Source organism: Homo sapiens, chromosome 7, assembly GCF_000001405.40.
Source record: "Homo sapiens chromosome 7, GRCh38.p14 Primary Assembly".
Taxonomy (NCBI): Eukaryota; Metazoa; Chordata; class Mammalia; order Primates; family Hominidae; genus Homo; species Homo sapiens.
The window spans coordinates 151,340,175-151,356,901 of record NC_000007.14 but is presented as its reverse complement, the minus strand read 5'-3'; the positions used below and the strand labels follow the sequence as shown (position 1 = coordinate 151,356,901).

General features: G+C 43.7%; 1 protein-coding gene across 11 annotated transcripts in view, besides 5 other annotated features; it reads right to left on the bottom strand.

Annotated features, from left to right (window-relative positions):
- Positions 1 to 15,090, bottom strand: part of NUB1 (negative regulator of ubiquitin like proteins 1) — a 36,638-nt gene extending 21,548 nt beyond the window's left edge. For 3 of the 11 annotated variants that reach the window (NM_001363529.2, NM_001385353.1, NM_001385356.1), the window contains exons 1-7: positions 14,937 to 15,090; positions 11,436 to 11,554; positions 7,662 to 7,829; positions 5,420 to 5,478; positions 4,020 to 4,090; positions 952 to 1,134; positions 680 to 774 (exon numbers count right to left, since the gene is read on the bottom strand). In NM_001363529.2, the coding sequence (NP_001350458.1) occupies positions 680 to 774; positions 952 to 1,134; positions 4,020 to 4,090; positions 5,420 to 5,478; positions 7,662 to 7,829; positions 11,436 to 11,552 (693 nt within the window). In that variant the 5' untranslated portion in view covers positions 11,553 to 11,554; positions 14,937 to 15,090. Of the gene's footprint in view, positions 1 to 679; positions 775 to 951; positions 1,135 to 4,019; positions 4,091 to 4,708; positions 4,936 to 5,419; positions 5,479 to 7,661; positions 7,830 to 11,435; positions 11,555 to 14,936 lie in introns of those variants that run through there. The other 8 variants (NM_001243351.2, NM_016118.5, NM_001385361.1 and 5 more) reach the window with 4 other exon arrangements.
- Positions 6,341 to 7,220: an enhancer, noted in NCBI's record as "active region_26859". NCBI's record gives its function as "activates an Ori minimal core promoter by ATAC-STARR-seq in GM12878 lymphoblastoid cells {active_cell/tissue: GM12878}" and the evidence as "EXISTENCE:reporter gene assay evidence [ECO:0000049][PMID:35858748]".
- Positions 14,821 to 15,000: a silencer, noted in NCBI's record as "silent region_18812". NCBI's record gives its function as "represses an Ori minimal core promoter by ATAC-STARR-seq in GM12878 lymphoblastoid cells {active_cell/tissue: GM12878}" and the evidence as "EXISTENCE:reporter gene assay evidence [ECO:0000049][PMID:35858748]".
- Positions 14,968 to 15,469: an enhancer, noted in NCBI's record as "H3K27ac hESC enhancer chr7:151038519-151039020 (GRCh37/hg19 assembly coordinates)". NCBI's record gives its function as "activates a minimal SCP1, AML or CMV promoter by ChIP-STARR-seq in naive H9 embryonic stem cells {active_cell/tissue: H9 hESC(naive)}" and the evidence as "EXISTENCE:reporter gene assay evidence [ECO:0000049][PMID:30033119]".
- Positions 15,171 to 15,370: a silencer, noted in NCBI's record as "silent region_18811". NCBI's record gives its function as "represses an Ori minimal core promoter by ATAC-STARR-seq in GM12878 lymphoblastoid cells {active_cell/tissue: GM12878}" and the evidence as "EXISTENCE:reporter gene assay evidence [ECO:0000049][PMID:35858748]".
- Positions 16,539 to 16,628: an enhancer, noted in NCBI's record as "active region_26858". NCBI's record gives its function as "activates an Ori minimal core promoter by ATAC-STARR-seq in GM12878 lymphoblastoid cells {active_cell/tissue: GM12878}" and the evidence as "EXISTENCE:reporter gene assay evidence [ECO:0000049][PMID:35858748]".

Here is a 16,727-nt window from a genome sequence, read left to right as displayed (position 1 = left end):
CTACTAAAAATACAAAATTAGCCATCCGTGGTGGCACATGCCTGTAATCCCAGCTACTCAGGAGGCTGAGGCAGGAGAATCACTTGAACCCAGGAGGCGGAGGTTGCAGTGAGCTGAGACTGAGCCATTGCACTCCAGCCTGAGCAACAAGAGCAAAACTCCGTCTCAAAAACAAAAAAACAAACAAAAAACCCACAGATATGTTTAAGATTAAACCTCCGCCTACCTATCCCAAATTATAGAACAGGGAAAGAGTATGAGGAAATAGGGAAGAGAAGTCAGAATCACCTGTGGACTTTTCCCAAACGACACAGTTTCCCTACCCCTATTCTGATCCATCCCTTAGGGGACAAGGTTCTCTAGTAAAATAAACTAAATGTAAAGCACTGCCACAGGAAGCTGCATGCACTGAAGGCAGTGGGTCGTGTCCTCAGGTATGTTGAAAGTCACTGCTCCAGGACAGTGAGACATGACATTTTGTACTAATGCGCTGAAAAGCACAGGGTGAGGCCCATTGGATGCCAGTGCTCACCACGTGGTGACATTTTCTGTTTACGAGGCTGGAGATGGAGCACTGTTTCCAACCCTTTACAACACTTCCAACATAAAGCAACTAAAAAACCACCTCTGCCCTGACAACAAATCTAAGAACAGGCCACACATTTCTCATAGTACTTACTTTTCTTTCTGATGGGGGAATTCTGATTGATCTGCCTGTCTGGTTAGCTATGTCTAAGTACGGTGTCATTTCTGGATCCACCACTGTCTCTGCTGCTGTAACAAAACCAAAAGGACCTCCATGAACTCAATGTTAAACAGTTATGATGATGACAGCCTTAAAAATGTTAGACTGTTGAGGTGAGACTCAGTGAGAGCCATGATCCCCCAACTGTGTGATCCAGTGCTGCCCCCAAGCAGCTGAGTGGGTGACAAGCCCAGAGCTCTGGGTACCTCTCTTTGCCAGTATTTCTAGTCCTCTCTTGGTCCTCTGAATTTGTTTTTCTTTGAGTTTGGCCTCATTTTGCTCCTCTTCCTCTAACTGGAAGTTTTTCCTCGCGTCCTCTTCAGATTGTTTTAGTTCAAGCACCATCGCTTTCACATTGTGAGCCACGCCTTGTTCTTCAAGGGTTTTCCCTATAAAAATCAGAACTGCCTATTATTTTAAAAAGCCATTAAGCTTACCAGGTAACAGTCCATTTTCTATGTTAAATGGAATTGTTTTTATTTTTGAGACAAGGTCTCACTCTGTCACCCAGGCTGGAGTGCAGTGACACGATCATGGCTCCCCACAGCCTTCATCTCCTGGGCTCAAGCAAGTCTTGCACCTCAGCCTCCCGAGGAGCTGGGACTACAGGCCCATGCCATCACACCCAGTTAATTTTTGTATTTTTCGCAGTGATGGAGTCTCACTATGTTGCCCAGCTTGTCTTGAACTCCTGGGCTCAAGTGATCCTCCCACCTCAGCCTCACAAAGTGCTGGGTTACAGACATCAGGCCTTGCTCCTGGACAAAATGGAATTCTTAATCCTGCATACCATCACGCCACATAATTGGTAAAAATATGCCTACATTTGGTTGTAACTATGTCACTGTTAAGCAGTGGTTAAAATCAGCTAGCGACAATAGAATCAACTAAATTCATCTTTTCTAATCTTCTTTATTCTCAGCCTAAGACCAGATCAAAGCAACAGATATTTGATAATCTACTACAGGGAGAACATTGTGCTAGACAATATAAACGGAAAATGAGAAAGTATAACACACCTCTCCTACCCTCTAGTTGAAAAAATAATAAAGCCAATTCACAGCTACAAACAAGAAGCTGTACTGCAGTCTGTCACGGTTAAAAGCAAAGACCAGCAGGGCGTGGTGGTTCACACCTGTAATCTCAGTACTTTGGCAGGCTGAGGCAGGTGGATCACTTGAGCCCCGGAGTTCAAGATCAGCCTGGGCAACACAGTGGACCCCGTCTCCACAGAAAATAAAACATTAGCCTGGCATGGTGGTATGCACCTGTGGTCCTAGCTACTCAGTGGGAAGCTGAGGTGGGAGGATTGCTTGCACCTGGGAGGTGGAGGCTGCAGTGAGCTGCAATCGCACACCACACTCCAGCCTGGGTGACAGATAGAGACCCTATCTCTAAATAAATAAATAAAAGCAAAGACCATGGGCTCCATCTACCGTTTTAACTCTGTGGCCCTGAATAAACTACCTATCTTCTAGGACTCAGTTTCCTCATACATAAATTAGAAATAAAGGGCAGAAATCAGTGAAACAGAATGAAAGAAAACAGTAACAAAATCAAAAGCTGGCTCCATGAATAAATTAGCCAAATACACAAATCTAACAAAAATTATGTCAAAGATGCAAATAAACAAAATAAAAAAGGGTAAACATAGATGCAAACAGATTTTAAAATAACAAATAATATTGTGAACTAAAAAACACAAATGTGAACACATTTCTGGAAAACTAGCTGGATTTTTTTCTTTTGAGAAATATGACAACCTTTCTAACATTAACACACAAAATAAAGGTCCACCAGTGGTTAAGCCATCTTGATTAAAAAAAAAAAAAAAGCAAGGGTGGGGGGAGGTCACCAGATTTTAAGACTGCAACAAAGCCACAGTAATAAAAAACACCACAGGTGAGTAGGAAGAACAGAAAATATAGGAACAGGGCCCCCCAAAAAGGGTCACCACCAATCAGCAGGGAAAAGACAGACTATTTAATGAATTATATAGGAAGAAAAATAAAGGAACCCTTAAACTTTATATAGAAAGGGGGACTCTGGACAGACTGAAGACCTCTTATAGATTAAGCTAATATTCAAGAAAATGTAGACTATCCTTGTGGCCCTGGGGTTAGGGAAAGGACTTCAACAAAACACAAACCATAGGCAATGGATTTGATGACATCAAAATCAAGGTTTCTGTCCAATGAAGGATGCCACAAACAGAATTAACAGAGGGATGAGGCAACAGTGAAAAGATATCCATGACATCTAAAATAGACAATGGGAAATTGCTAGAGATGACGCTGGAAAGCAAGGCTAGGGTGAGCTGTGAAGGGCTGTCTTAGATCAAGCTAAGAAATGTGGACTTCATTCTCGAGGCCACAGGAACGCACTGGAAACCAGTGGGCTACAGTGCTTGTATGGATGGCTGCAGTAGCTAACTGGTCTCCCCAAGTCAACTCATGCCACCTTCAAATACATTCCCCTACTGCGTGACCTTTCTAAAACACAAACAGAATTGTGTATCACTCCGCAGCACAGATGTCTTCCCATGTATCTTAGGAGAAATGTACTAACACTGAGGAAGGTCATCTAGTTTCTCGTTTCCCAACAGCTGCGCTACTGACATCTGGGACTGGACAAGTCTTTGTTGTGGGGCCTGTTCTGGGCATTGCACATTCAGCAGCATCCCTAGCCTCCACCCACTAAATGACAGCAGCACAACCTCCCCCGTCACCAAGTTATAAGCACCACAAATGTCTCCAGACAATGCCAAATGTCTCCTGGGAATTCACAGTGTGGCCTCTGCTTGCCCCTCCATCCTTAAAAAGCACTCCCCTCCCCTCATTCTCCACACACAGCCACACTGGACCTTCCTCAGTTCCTCAAATTCACACCATAGTGCTCTGACATAAGGCTCTCAGTCTGGAACGCACGCCACCATGGCCTCCCCACTGTCCTGACACAGCCTTAGCTCTTCTCCTTCAAGAAGAATTTGCTGGAACTGGCATCTTACACTCAGCACACCTTACATTCCATTCTCTAACATTTTATCTAAGCTGTAATGAGTGTCTTTCTTCCCACTATCATAGAACAGACAGTAAATATTTATTGGAAAAGCTATTTTCTGCTTTACATTTTTATTTTAGTAAACTTCTAAATCACTTTTGGATTATAAATGAAATAAAGCTACAAATTTTTGAAAAGACATTGAGAAAAAAAGGGAAGTCATTATTTCTATATTTGGTTCATTAAAAAATTATGCATACTTTGCCATACATACCTAGTTGTAGTTGCTTCTTATTTATGACAATTTTGATATAATTTTCTTGAAGTCCAAAGGTTTCAGCTATTCTGTAAAATAAAACCAGTGAAAATTGTAGGAAAACAAAATTGCGATTTATTATCCATTAAAAAGACATTAGCCAGGCCCGGTGGCTCACGCCTGTAATCCCAACACCCTGGGAGGCCAAGGTGGGAGGATGGCTTGAGCCCAGGAATTCAAGACCAGCCTGGGCAACAGAGAGATCCTATCTCTACAAAAAATTTTTAAAAATTAGCCAGGCCTGGTAGCCCATGCCTGTGGCCCTAGCTGCTTGGGAGGTTTGGGTAGGAGGATTGCTTGAACCGCGAGTTTGAGGTTGCAATGAGCTATATTTATGCCACTGTGCTTCAGCTTGGGTGACAGAGCAAGATCCTGTCTCTAAAAAATAAATATTTTTTAAAAGAAGGCTTTAATCATGATAGCTCTTTTATCCATTTTATCAGAAACACCCAGGATTTCAACTGACTGACTCACAAACATCACAATAAAGCCATCTTACTAGACGGCTATTTGAAACTGTAGGAGACAAGGTCCTTTTTAAACTTTCCGTTTTACTGCTTGTTTCCTCAGGCAGTGGAGACCACAGTGCTGTAGATCCATGTGAACAGGAAGCCCTAGTTGCACATCCGGAGAAAATCTACCTATACCTTCTGTGGTCTCCCTGGAGAAGCCCATAGCGGGGGCTGATCCACAGGGTCTTCTACGCATGTGTGTTGCATGCCACTTCCTGAATCCACCCCTGACAGCCCTGATGTAGACCAAAGAAGGAAATGAGAAAAATCAGCTGAAGAAATACACCCGCTAGCTAGCCCTGGAGGTGCTCCAAACACCATTTTAAAACATACAAGGAGATGAAATAACCCACCAGATCTCAAAGTTAGGATTTCACTAGTATGTGGCAAACGTGTGTGTGTGTGTGTGTGTTTTACAGATGGGCCAACAGCCTGAAATCAGATAAAACACCGTGCTGAAGGTCATAGCAAGCTATTAATACATTAGGGAAAAAAAATAGTAATTCAAAACTAATGAGCTAGTGAGTACCAGGTGTCTCCTGCTTGTATCACTCACTCATTCACTCAAACATGCACCAAGTGCCTACCATATGATAGGCATGGAGTTCCCACCTGCTCGGAAGTTACACCAGGAAATAGTGCTTGCAAGTCTTGAGTCCTCACTTTGCCACTTACCTACCAGTGACAGCTCTAATAAGTCCTTCAACCTCAAAGCCTCAATTTTCTCTTTTATAAAATGAAGATAATACCTGCCCTACCTATCTTAAGAGGACGCTCACAGAGGATCAAATAAGCCAATGTAAAAAGGCCCAGAGCACCTAGGACACAGAGCACACAGATACTTACTTGGACCTCAGTTCTCTGCCAGTGATGTGCAATCGGGTCTCCAACAAGTTTTTCCTATCCTGTTAAAAATAAGACAAAGTAAAACGTACTTGAATTTAACCCATTTTGGAGAGATTACCCTGTGAAATCAGAAAAGCTGACGGCAGAGGATATAAACTGAGTTCACTGTTAAAAACTAAAATGCTGCCTGCCTAGAAGTCTACTGAACATAACCCAGCACAGGCTGACCCTGTGACCTGCACGTCCTCAAGGGGGCGGCAGCGTGGCACCACCAGGCAGGGCTGCTCAGAGGGGCCGTCTCACACAGCTGGACGTCTTTAACATTTCAGAACATTTCCACCATCCCTCAAAGAAACACCATGGCCTGCACCCCATTCCCTCCCCTTTGCCCCCCAGCCCCTGGCAACCACTAATCCATTTTCTGCTGCTACAGATTTGCCTATTCCGGACATTTCATATAAATGGGATAGTGCAGTACGTGGCCTTTTGTGTCTGGCTTCTTCCCTGAGCATCATGTTTTCAGGTGCACCCACGTTGTGGACGCATCAGCACTTCATTCCTTTGCATTGTGAACAGTTTTCCATCGTATGAATAGACCACATTTATCTATCCCTTCATCTGTTGATGGACATTTGGACTATTTCCATCTCTCAGCTACTGAATAGTGTTGCTATGACCATTCATGTATGAGGTTTTACATATTAATATATATGTGGGCGGCAAGCCACCCAGGTGCCAAGGCAAGAGACCGAGGGCACAAATTGTTCCAGTATAATAAAGAAAATATATAGAATAAGAATAGTTACACTAGAAATAGATTATAGATATGATTATATATGAATATCATTATTAGTTTGTAGTATTACTCTTTATTTCAATATTACAATAATCTTTGTTCTACAATTATAACCTAGGAAAAACCAGGCCACACAGAGATAGGAGCTGAAGGGACACAGTGAGAAGTGACCAGAAGACAAGTGTGAGCCCTCTGTTATGCCCGAACAGGGCCACTAGAGGGCTCCCTCGTCTAGCGGTAACTCCAGTGCCCGGAAAGGCCCTCGTTACTTAGCAGACCTTGGTCTAGCGGTAGCGCCAGTGCCTGGGAAGGCACCTGTTACTTAGCAGACTGGGAAAGGGAGCCTCTCCCTGGGGTAGTTAGAGAAGACTCTGCTCCACCACCTCTTGTGGAAGGCCTGACATTAGTCAGGCCCGCCCACAGCCATCCAGAGGCCTAAACGTCTCCCTGTGACGCTGTGCTTCAGTGGTCCCGCTCCTGTTTCACTTTCATGTTCCGCTCTGTACACCTGGCTCCGCCTTCTAGATAGCAGCAGCAGAAAGTGAAAGTATTAACGTCTTTGATCTTTCTGAGAAGAGCATAGAAGAAATAATGACGTAAGCTGTCCTCTCTCTCCGCCTCGTCTACCTACAAGGGAAAGGCCCCCTGTCCGGTGGACACATGACTCCTGTGACCTTATCAATCATTGGAGATGACTCACAGTCCTTACCCTGCCCCTTCTGCCTTGTATCCAATAAATAACAGCACAGCCAGGCATTCGGGGCCACTACCGGTTTCCGCGTCTAGGTGGTAGTGGTCCTCCGGGCCCAACTGTCTTTTCTTCTATCTCTTTGTCTTGTGTGTTTATTTCTACGATCTCTTGTCTCCGCACATGAGGAGAAAAACCACAGACCCAGTAGGGCTGGAGCCTATGCTCTTATTTCTTCTGAGAGTGCTGGCATCGATCAGTCCCAAGAGGCTCTGGGTGCCTTGCCACAGTGACATTTCTAGATGCAAACTACCTGGCCATGGCAATGAGAGGAGGTGACCCCACCCAGATCTCCTCGGCCCTGCTTGAGAGCACTCAGCGGACTGCCCTCTGACCTCTACTGGAACAGGAAAAGGATGAAGCCTTCTGTGCTGTGTCCTCCTGCACAGGCTTCTAGGAAACTTGGGAATCCTTTATTCCCCATTATTTCTCAACGTTCACACGCTAGAAAGGATCAGAATGTGACATACAGCTCTGTGGCATTTTAGAAGCCCAAGAGGGTCTCTAAAAGCCTACCTTGGGAATGTTCCAGTTTAAGAATTTGTAACATTGACTTTCAAGCTGATAAATTGTTCAATATGTAAAGTCACTTAAAAGAATTCTGACTTTGGATTGTAACTTTCCAAACAACAACAATTTATTTGACCTCATCACTAACTGGACATTAGTGCCTACTCAAATTTAGGGAAATTACTCACTTTTTTTAGTCTTGGTGGTAAAAACACCTCGATTGTAGCAATTCCCGTTGTTCTATAATTGTCATTTCCTGTTCCACGCTCAATTGCCTTGCAACGTATTTCTTCTATTACCTTTTCTACTTCATTTTCACAGCATTCTAGTCTGTCAGAGTACTGCTTAGCAAGGTCCTATCAAGAAAAATCAGAAAATGCAATACTGACTTAAAAAAAAAAAGGCAAAATATAGAAAAGGGCATGAAAGACTCTAAGGCCATCAACTCTGATGAGTGGAGGTCGCCCCGTTACACTGCAGTCCACACTGTGGTTTGACATCTTGAGAGGTGTGGAGTTTAGAGAGGCCAGGAAAAAGTGAAAACACTTATTTGAGACTGGGCGCGGTGGCTCATGCCTGTAATCCCAGCACTTTGGGAGGCCGAGGCAGGCGCATCACTTGAGGTGATGAGTTTGGGACCAGCCTGGCCAACATGGTGAAACCCCATAACTACTTAAATACAAAAATTAGCTGGGCATGGTGGCGTGTGCCTGTAGGCCCAGCTACTTGGGGGGCTGAGGCAGGAGAATCGCTTGAACCCAGGAGGCAGAGGCTGCAGTGAGCCAAGATTGTGCCACTGTACTCCACCCTGGGTGACAGAGCAAGACTCCGCCTCAAAAAAAAAAAAAAAAAAAAAAAAGCAAAAAGCAAAAAACAAAAACATTTATTTGATAAATGTTTTCTACCTACAAATAGTAAAATAATAATAATAATAGAGAATCTTCTAAGGAGAAGAAAAGGGTGGGCTATGACTTATGTGACTGTGATCTATTTAAAAAGTATAATGAACTGTTCAACTCCACTGGAAGGGAAAATGAAAAAAAAACCCAGAAAATATTCCAATTTTTCAAACTTGTGAGAACAAATCAAGTTGGACTTAAACAATTCTCTTAATGAAAATCTGTGAATCATGGGTACTAGTTGTAAAACTATTTGTAAGGGAGAGCTTTAGAATTGAGAAAAAAAAGAAGATTGAAAGGGCTCAAGAAAGGATGGGAACCAGTTATTACTGAGAGCAAAGTCATTATGGTTCCTCCCCAAAAAAATCCAGATGAGTATCTCTAATCTAAAAATCTGAAATCGCCAAAATTCAGCATCTGGAGATGCTCAAAGGAAATGCACACTGAAGTATTTTGAATTTTGAATTTTCAGATTAGGATGCCCAACTAGTAGGTATAAAGCAAACATTCCAAAATCCAAACACACTTCCAGTCCCAAATATTTCAGTTACGGGATACTCCTCTCAATCTGTATCTGCATGTGAGGTTAATGTTTCATTAAACATCTCATAAAACAGTAAACACTTCAAAAAACCCTAAAGGTCAAGGTTTCATTAAATTCATAATGTAATACCATGTAGTACGTAAAAATTATGGTGTAAGCATAAATTTATGACAGAAGAGATGTTCATGATAAAAGTGAAGTTGGAAAACTTTATAGATATGAGTATAGATTGGGCGCGATGGCTCATGCCTGTAATCCCAGCACTTTGGAAGGCAAGGTGAGAGGATTGCTCAAGCCCAGGACTTCAAGACCAACCTGGGCAACAAAGTGAAACCCCGTCTCTACAAAAACTAAAAATATATTAGCCAGGCATGGTGGCATGCACCTGTAGTCCCAGCTACTCCCAAGGCTGAGGTGGGAGAATCACTTGAGCCCAGGAGTGTGAGGCTGCAATGAACTATGGCCATGCCATTGCACTCCAGCCTGGGCAACAGATCAAGACCTTGTCTCAAAAAAAAAGGAAAAAAAATTTTGTAAGTAACATAAACCTATATATACTTTTTTTTTCTTTTAGAGACGGGGTCTCACTACGTTGCCCAGGCTGGAGTGCAGTGGCTATTCACAGGTGGGACCATAGCATACTACAGTCTCCAACTCCCGGGTTCAAGTGATCCTCCTGCCTTAGCCTCCTGAGTAGCTGGGACTACAGGCATGCGCCACTGTGTCCAGCAATACATTTTTTTAATAGTTACGTAGGAAAAGAGGAAGAATATACCTATGTTAACGATGTTTAACATATTTTAAAAATACATTCTTTATATTTTTGTATTTATATACATACTTTTTAAAACCTAGAATATATATTATAAATACTTTTTTAAAAACTTTCTATAATTTTCTAGAAAACCTAACTAGTGAGGATTTCTTTCTTCCTCCTGTCACCAGCCAATTCTGACACCAACTGGAAGTCCTACGATTCAATTCTGACACTAACTACCCAGAGTTAGCGTTAGACTCCACAGGTTTAAGGGCTCAGCCCACAAAAAAGCCCTAACTTCAGATACCAGTTACCAAGTATCTGGTCCCCAGGTTACCCATACTTTTGTCTGACTTAGCTACAAAGTCGAGGGTTCACACAAGCACCCCCTTCAGGTTCCATGATTTGCTAGAACAACTCACAGAACTCCAGAAAATGGTATACTTATGAATATAGTTCATTACAAAGGATACAAATAACCATTCACATGAAGAGGTACTAAGGCAAGGTCTGGAAGGGTCCTGAGCATAGAAGCCTCTGTCCCATGGAGTTGGGGGTGTACATCCCGACATGTGGATGTGTTCACCAATTTGGAAGCTGTCCAAAATCTGTCACTTAGGGGTTTGTATGGAAGTTTCATTATGCAGGCCTGATTAAATCACTGACCATTAGTATTAGTCATCAGCTCAATCTCCCCTTCCCAGAGGTTGGAGGGGAGGGTGGAAAGTTTCAAGTGTCTAATCACGGCTTGGTACTTTTGGTGACCAGCCCCATCCTGAAGCTATCTAGGGGCAACCAAGCCTCATGAGCACAAAGGTTGCTCCTATCATGCTTACCACTTAGGAAATCCCAAGAGTTTTGGCTCTGCCAGGAACCAGGGACAAAGGTCAAATATTTTTCCTTTATGCCACACCTAGTTTCTAAACCAAGAGACTGTAACAATAAATTCAGAAGCAAGGTCAGAAGGTGGGTTGCAAAGAAAAAGTGAGGCCTGCCTGGAACAGAAGAAACAGAAGAACTAGGACCCTAATACAGTTTGTCACCTCCCAAGCACATCATTATGTCACAACACAGAGCAATTTAATGCCTCATGACAATCCTTAGTCCCTGATAAATGTTACATCATGTTCAGGATACTCTGAATGAGAGCAGAGAAGTACATGCTAGGAAATTCCAGTATGATAGATTTCTGGCAAAAATGAGTACTGTTTCTCTGCTTAGAAAAGCAAGCAGACTTCAGTTTCTAGAAACATCACTTACATACAATATCATTTCTGATGATGCCATGAAAAACTGAGATACAACTGTTAGAAAAAACCTATTTTGGAAAAATGAACACTGATAGTGAGAGCATCAAAAAAACTGGGGGAAAAAGGAGCAATTGTTTCACAGCAGATGATGATAGCAAGGAGGACCGAGAATGAGCCAAGACACTGTCACTTTGAACACACAATGCAATTACTTACTGGCACCAATACTGTTCCACTAATGGGTCAAAATGAGTTCCAGATAAATAATGTTATGTAATCCTGTGATGGTATTAAAAATATATGCCTGAAAAATTAGATAACATCCTCATGTGAATAAAATATTAATGAACAAAAATAAGGTTGTCAGTTCCTAGTAAAAAGTGGGTACCCGCTCACCACTAATGCTTTTGGTTATGCCAAAAGTTTATATGGTCATGCCTGACAATTCAGAATCTTATTTACCAAGGAGATTTATAATGCTGCTAATTATTGATGTCTTAAAAGAAAAATACCTTTAATGCCAAACCAACTTTTTTATTTTCATCTGTATATGGAGGTTTCCAAAGTTGAATCCTGTCTTCCCTTAAAAACTGGGTCAATTTTGCTTGAAGATATTTCTTTTGTGCCATCCCTGAAAGCAAAACAATACATTAATAAAACTCCACATCGCATTTTAAAATGTTAATAACTTACCTACATGTTAAGGTGCTTTGTTGGGTAAGCAAAGCTCCCTTCCTCTGTCATTAAATATAAATTACTATGGTTTAAATGAGCTCCAGACTTCTCTAAAAATATATATAGAAATATATGTTCAATTATATATATTACATATATAAAATATGTATTTCAAAGTTGCTAATATGTAGCAAGGATTATTACATGTTTCTATTTCTTAATCTGCTATTCTCTTATCTAAGAGAAAAGAGAAAATAAGAGAAAGATAAATCCCTCGAGTCGTGAACTTCTTTTTTTCTTTTTTGAGACGGAGTCTCGCTCTGTCGCCCAGGCTGGAGTGCAGTGGTGCGATCTCGGCTCACTGCAAGCTCCGCCCCCTGGGTTCAAGCAATTCCCCTGCATCAGCCTCCCTACTCACTGGGATTACAGGCATGCGCCACCACGCCCGGCTAATTTTCATATTTTTAGTAGAGACGGGGTTTCGCCATGTTGGCCAGGCTGGTCTCGAATTCCTGACCTCAAGTGATCCACCCACCTTGGTCTCAAAACGCTGGGATTACAGGCGTGAGCTTGTAAATTCTCTCATACTTTGGCTAGTTTAACATAAAACAAAAGGCCAACCATCCTGGTAGTTAAATATAAAGAAAAGCTTGCTTGAACTGTAAACTATCGATAATAAATATTTTCGGATGGGTGTGGTGGCTCAGGCCTGTAACCCCAGCACTTTGGGAGGCTGAGTTCAGGAGCTGAGGTCAGGAGTTCGAGACCAGCCTGGTCAACATGGTGAAGCCCTATCTCTACTAAAAAAAAAAAAATATATGAACAATTAGCCGGGCGTGGTGGCAGGTACCTGTAATCCCAGCTACTCGGGAGACTGAGGCAGGAGAATCGCTTGAATCCAGGAGGCAGAGGTTGTAGTGAGCCGAGATGGCACCACTGCACTCCAGCCTGGGCAACAGAGTGAGACTCCGTCTCAAAATAATAATAAATATATAAATATTTTCTATGTCAGAATTTTTTAAATTAAAAAGATTACAATACTAGGAAAATTTTGCATATTTTCTGATTAACAGCCTAACAGCACATCTACTTTTTTTTTTTTTTTTTTTTTTTTTTTTTTTTTGAGAGGGAGTCTCACTCTGTCGCCCAGGCTAGAGTGCAGTGGTACAATCTCGGCTCACTGCAAGCTCCGCCTCCCGGGTTCACGCCATTCTCCTGCCTCAGCCTCCCCAGTAGCTGGGACTACAGGCGCCCGCCACCACGCCCGGCTGATTTTTTGTATTTTTAGTAGAGATGGGGTTTCACCGTGTTGGCCAGGATGGTCTCAATCTCCTGACCTTGTGATCCGCCCGCCTCGGCCTCCCAAAGTGCTGGGATTACAGGCCTGAGCCACCGCGCCTGGCCCTACTATTCAAATCTAACACTGATCGGATCATTTTACAGCTGAGAAAATTAGGGCCCTGAGTTTGTACCATGACTCAGGCAAAGACACAAAATTAGGCAGCATCTTAACGAGCACAACTTCCACCCACAACACTGGACTCTGAACTTCCGTCATGGAGTCCCTTGCTGCTTGCCTGTTCCAGGTATGTAACTTCTCTCTCCCAGAGAAGTATGTACCGCGATGGAGCTGTCTACTCATCCCATACTAGCACAGCAATTCAAAGGTGAGTGAGGCGGCTGAGATGTAAGGCAGCTGGCAGGTGTAGCACAGCGCTTTAAGGTTTCCCAAATCAGACAAGCAATAAGTAAAGAAAAATGTTATTAGCCCCTGAATGATGAAGACAAGTTCTAGAGAGTGGAAAAAATATGAGTTAATATTACCAAGATAAATTTCTTTCTTCTATTGAGGGCCAGTATTCCACATCCCCCCAAACCCAATTCACACAACTTTGAAATCTTTGAAAACTTTGGTAGCTTGTGTATTTCATAAACAAATATTTTTTAAAAGAAAGTTCAAATCTATTTTATGTCAGTGCGGGGACAAGAATTAGGCTAATCAGGACAGGGAGGAGAAAAGAGAGGAAGGAATAACACAGCCAATGAGGCTGCTGTGTGCAACCTGGGTGGCCCATGGGAGAATCCTCCATTTTTCAAGCACTGACAAACGGCTTATCACAGCAAAGCATATTAGTACTTAGAGCGTTAGCTTTTCAAACACAAATAACTTTAAAAACTACTTTACATACTACTCATGAATCTTCAGAAATTCTGAATAAAATATCACAGCAACCCTACTGTCTCCCCACTGGGGGACAGTAATTTCACAGGCTGGTTACTGGAGCCAAGCAATTTGAAAGGCTGATGCGGTACTCAGAGATGCCATCCAAGGCCGGGCGCGGTGGCTCACACCTGTAATCCCAGCACTTGGGAGGCCGAGGCCAGTGGATCACCTGAGGTCAGGAGTTCAAGACCAGCCTGGTCAACATGGTGAAACCCCGTCTCTACTAAAAAAATAAACAAATAAAAAATTTTTAAAAAGATGCCATCCAAGCCACCACTTGACAGAAGGACGAAGGAGTGTTACAAACCCAGTGCGTGTCAGACACTCCAGGGAGCAAACAAGAGCTCCAGGGTTACACCGAATAAGATTTAATGTTAAAAAAAAATTAAACCACTGTCTTGAAACTTAAGGAACTTCAGTTATAGACAACAGAGTAAGTGGCGACATATTTTAAGTCAAGTTTAATAAGTCAGTTTTTAATTTTAACTGAAATGAGAACTGAAAAAGTTTCATGCATGCCATACAATGTTTCACATTGTAACTAAGAAAAGACGAAACTCATTAATATCACTCCGTGGTCCAAGCAGAAAGTGAAACGTTATAACGATCCTTTAAAAATTTCACTTTCACTTTTGTAATGAATCGATCATTGCTACATTTAGCCACACCTTTTCAAGTATACATTATATATAGTTGAAACACAACTATATCTAGTCAAGACACATTCATTTTTTCTTAGGAAAATGAAAGATTCTTGATTAAAAATAAAAGGGAAGGAGGTGAGAATGATAGAATCAGGTCGTCAAGGTTCGAGAAAATCAAGTGTCTTGTCATTAAATAGCAAAGAAAATCTGGCTTTGATTGCAAATAAATCCCAAATGGTATACTCGGAGTGTTACGATTCAAGTATAGCATTTGGCTAATTTTTTATAGACATATTTATTCCTTTCTCTCCCCAAACCGATACACTCAATATTTTCTTTTAAATACCCCACACCTCTGCCTAACTCAGGGCAAACCAAAGGGCCCCGAACGGCCAGCGCGTCCCGAAGCCCGGCCCACCGCTCCCGGCCCCGGCCCCGGCCCCGGCCCAGCTCCACGCATGGCTGCTCACCCCCGCCCCGCGGCCGCTCCACCCCTGGCCAGGAGAGGTGCCCAGTCGGACCGGGAACCGGGGCGCCAAGCAGTGCTGCTGAGGCTGGGGTCGAGGACACTCGGCCGCCGTGTCCTCACCTGCGCCACGCCACTCCCGCCGCGACCAGCAGAGTGCCCGGATGCGGCAGCGGCCGCCGTTTGTTTTCATTCCGGGTGAGGCCAGCCCCGCCCCCGCCGCCGCTGTCGCCTTCGCGCCGCCGCCGCCGCCGCCGCTTGGAAAGAGGGTTGTGGGCGGGGCCAAGGCGAAGCCAGCTGTGGGCGGGGATACGGTTGTGTGGGCGTGGTTACCGCGGGGCGGAGCCGCGACGGGGCGGAGCTAAGCGGAGGCGGGGCTGGGCGAGGATGTGGCCGTGTGGGGCGAGGACCTGGGAGTTGGTGTCCAACGCCACCCCAGGCTCAGTCTTCCAGGACTTCCCGCCCGGGCTCAGTTTGCCAGCCATCAAGAGGAAATGGATCCTGGCTTTGTTTCTCCAGAATCCTTGAAAGAGGCTGGGGGAAGGGTCGGGACCGTCCCAACCCGCATCTCATTCCTCAGCCTAGGCTGGACCCCTTCCCTAAACCAGCGGCTTTTCACCCCGCCCTCCACAAGCCCACCAGGGGCTTCCCTGGGGTGAAATTAGGCTGCTTCCCGGGAATTTCCTCCCCCATGCTGTCCACGGCCACTAGGGACCACAAGGCCTAGGGAGCTCTGCCTACTTCCAAGGTCCTATTCCCAAGGCTGTGCTCAACAGTGACGCTTCTATTTTATTATCAGTTATTGCTGTTAATCTCTTACTGTGCCTAATAAATTAAACTTTATCGTAGGTATGTACGTATGTATAGGAAAAATGAAGTGTGTGTATATATATAGTATATATATATGTGTGTGTATGTAAAATGGGGTGCAGTACTATCCGAGGTTTCAGGCATCCACTGTGGGTCTTGGGACACACCACCTGTGTGTGGACGAGAGGGGACTCCTGTAACCTTGCAGTGACCAATCCGTTTTTCGTTCCCTGTTGCTGCTTTCTTTAGCCCTTTTCTACCTATAAAGCCCACCTCCTCTGCCCAGCTCGTTGGAGCACCGTTTCTAAATTTTCAGAGAAGATGCCATCCTGATTCATGAATCAATAAAAACCAATAGATCTTTAATCTAAATTTGTGGTAATTTTGACTTCTGACAAAGGGATATTAATAACTGTATAACCGCACCAGACCAATCTGATTCGCCTTTTATATACCCAAGTTGTGAGTTGTTTTTCAGTTGCATGGACTCCCAGATGGAAGGTTTCGCACGTAACCTGAGGATGCCCAGGTGAACCAAGCATGCAACCAGGGGCGGAACCTGAGTGCTCAGATCAAAGCAGGGACTGAATTAAGAAATGGGCACTGCATGGTGAGATCCAGAATGCAATCAGATCAAGCCCTGGTGTCACCCCATGGCAGGGTCCAGTCAGATGAGCATCCCAGCATCACCTCATCGCAAAATCTAATCCGATCATGCGTCATTACCCTATGCTTATAAAACCCAACCCAGCCCCAAGCTCAAGGAGACAGAGCTGAGGGTTTCCTCATGTCTCCTTGACAGTCAACTCACAATAAAGCCTTTCTTTTCTCAAAAGCCCGTGCCATGGTGTTGGCTTCTAGCACATCAGGAAAAAGCCCGTTGATTGCTCAGTAGCAATTGCAGCAAGGTAGAAGGACAACAGAAACTGTTCTGACATTTTTTTCTGAGGGCTTTCTCTGAGATGAGTAACAAAGATAGTTTCAC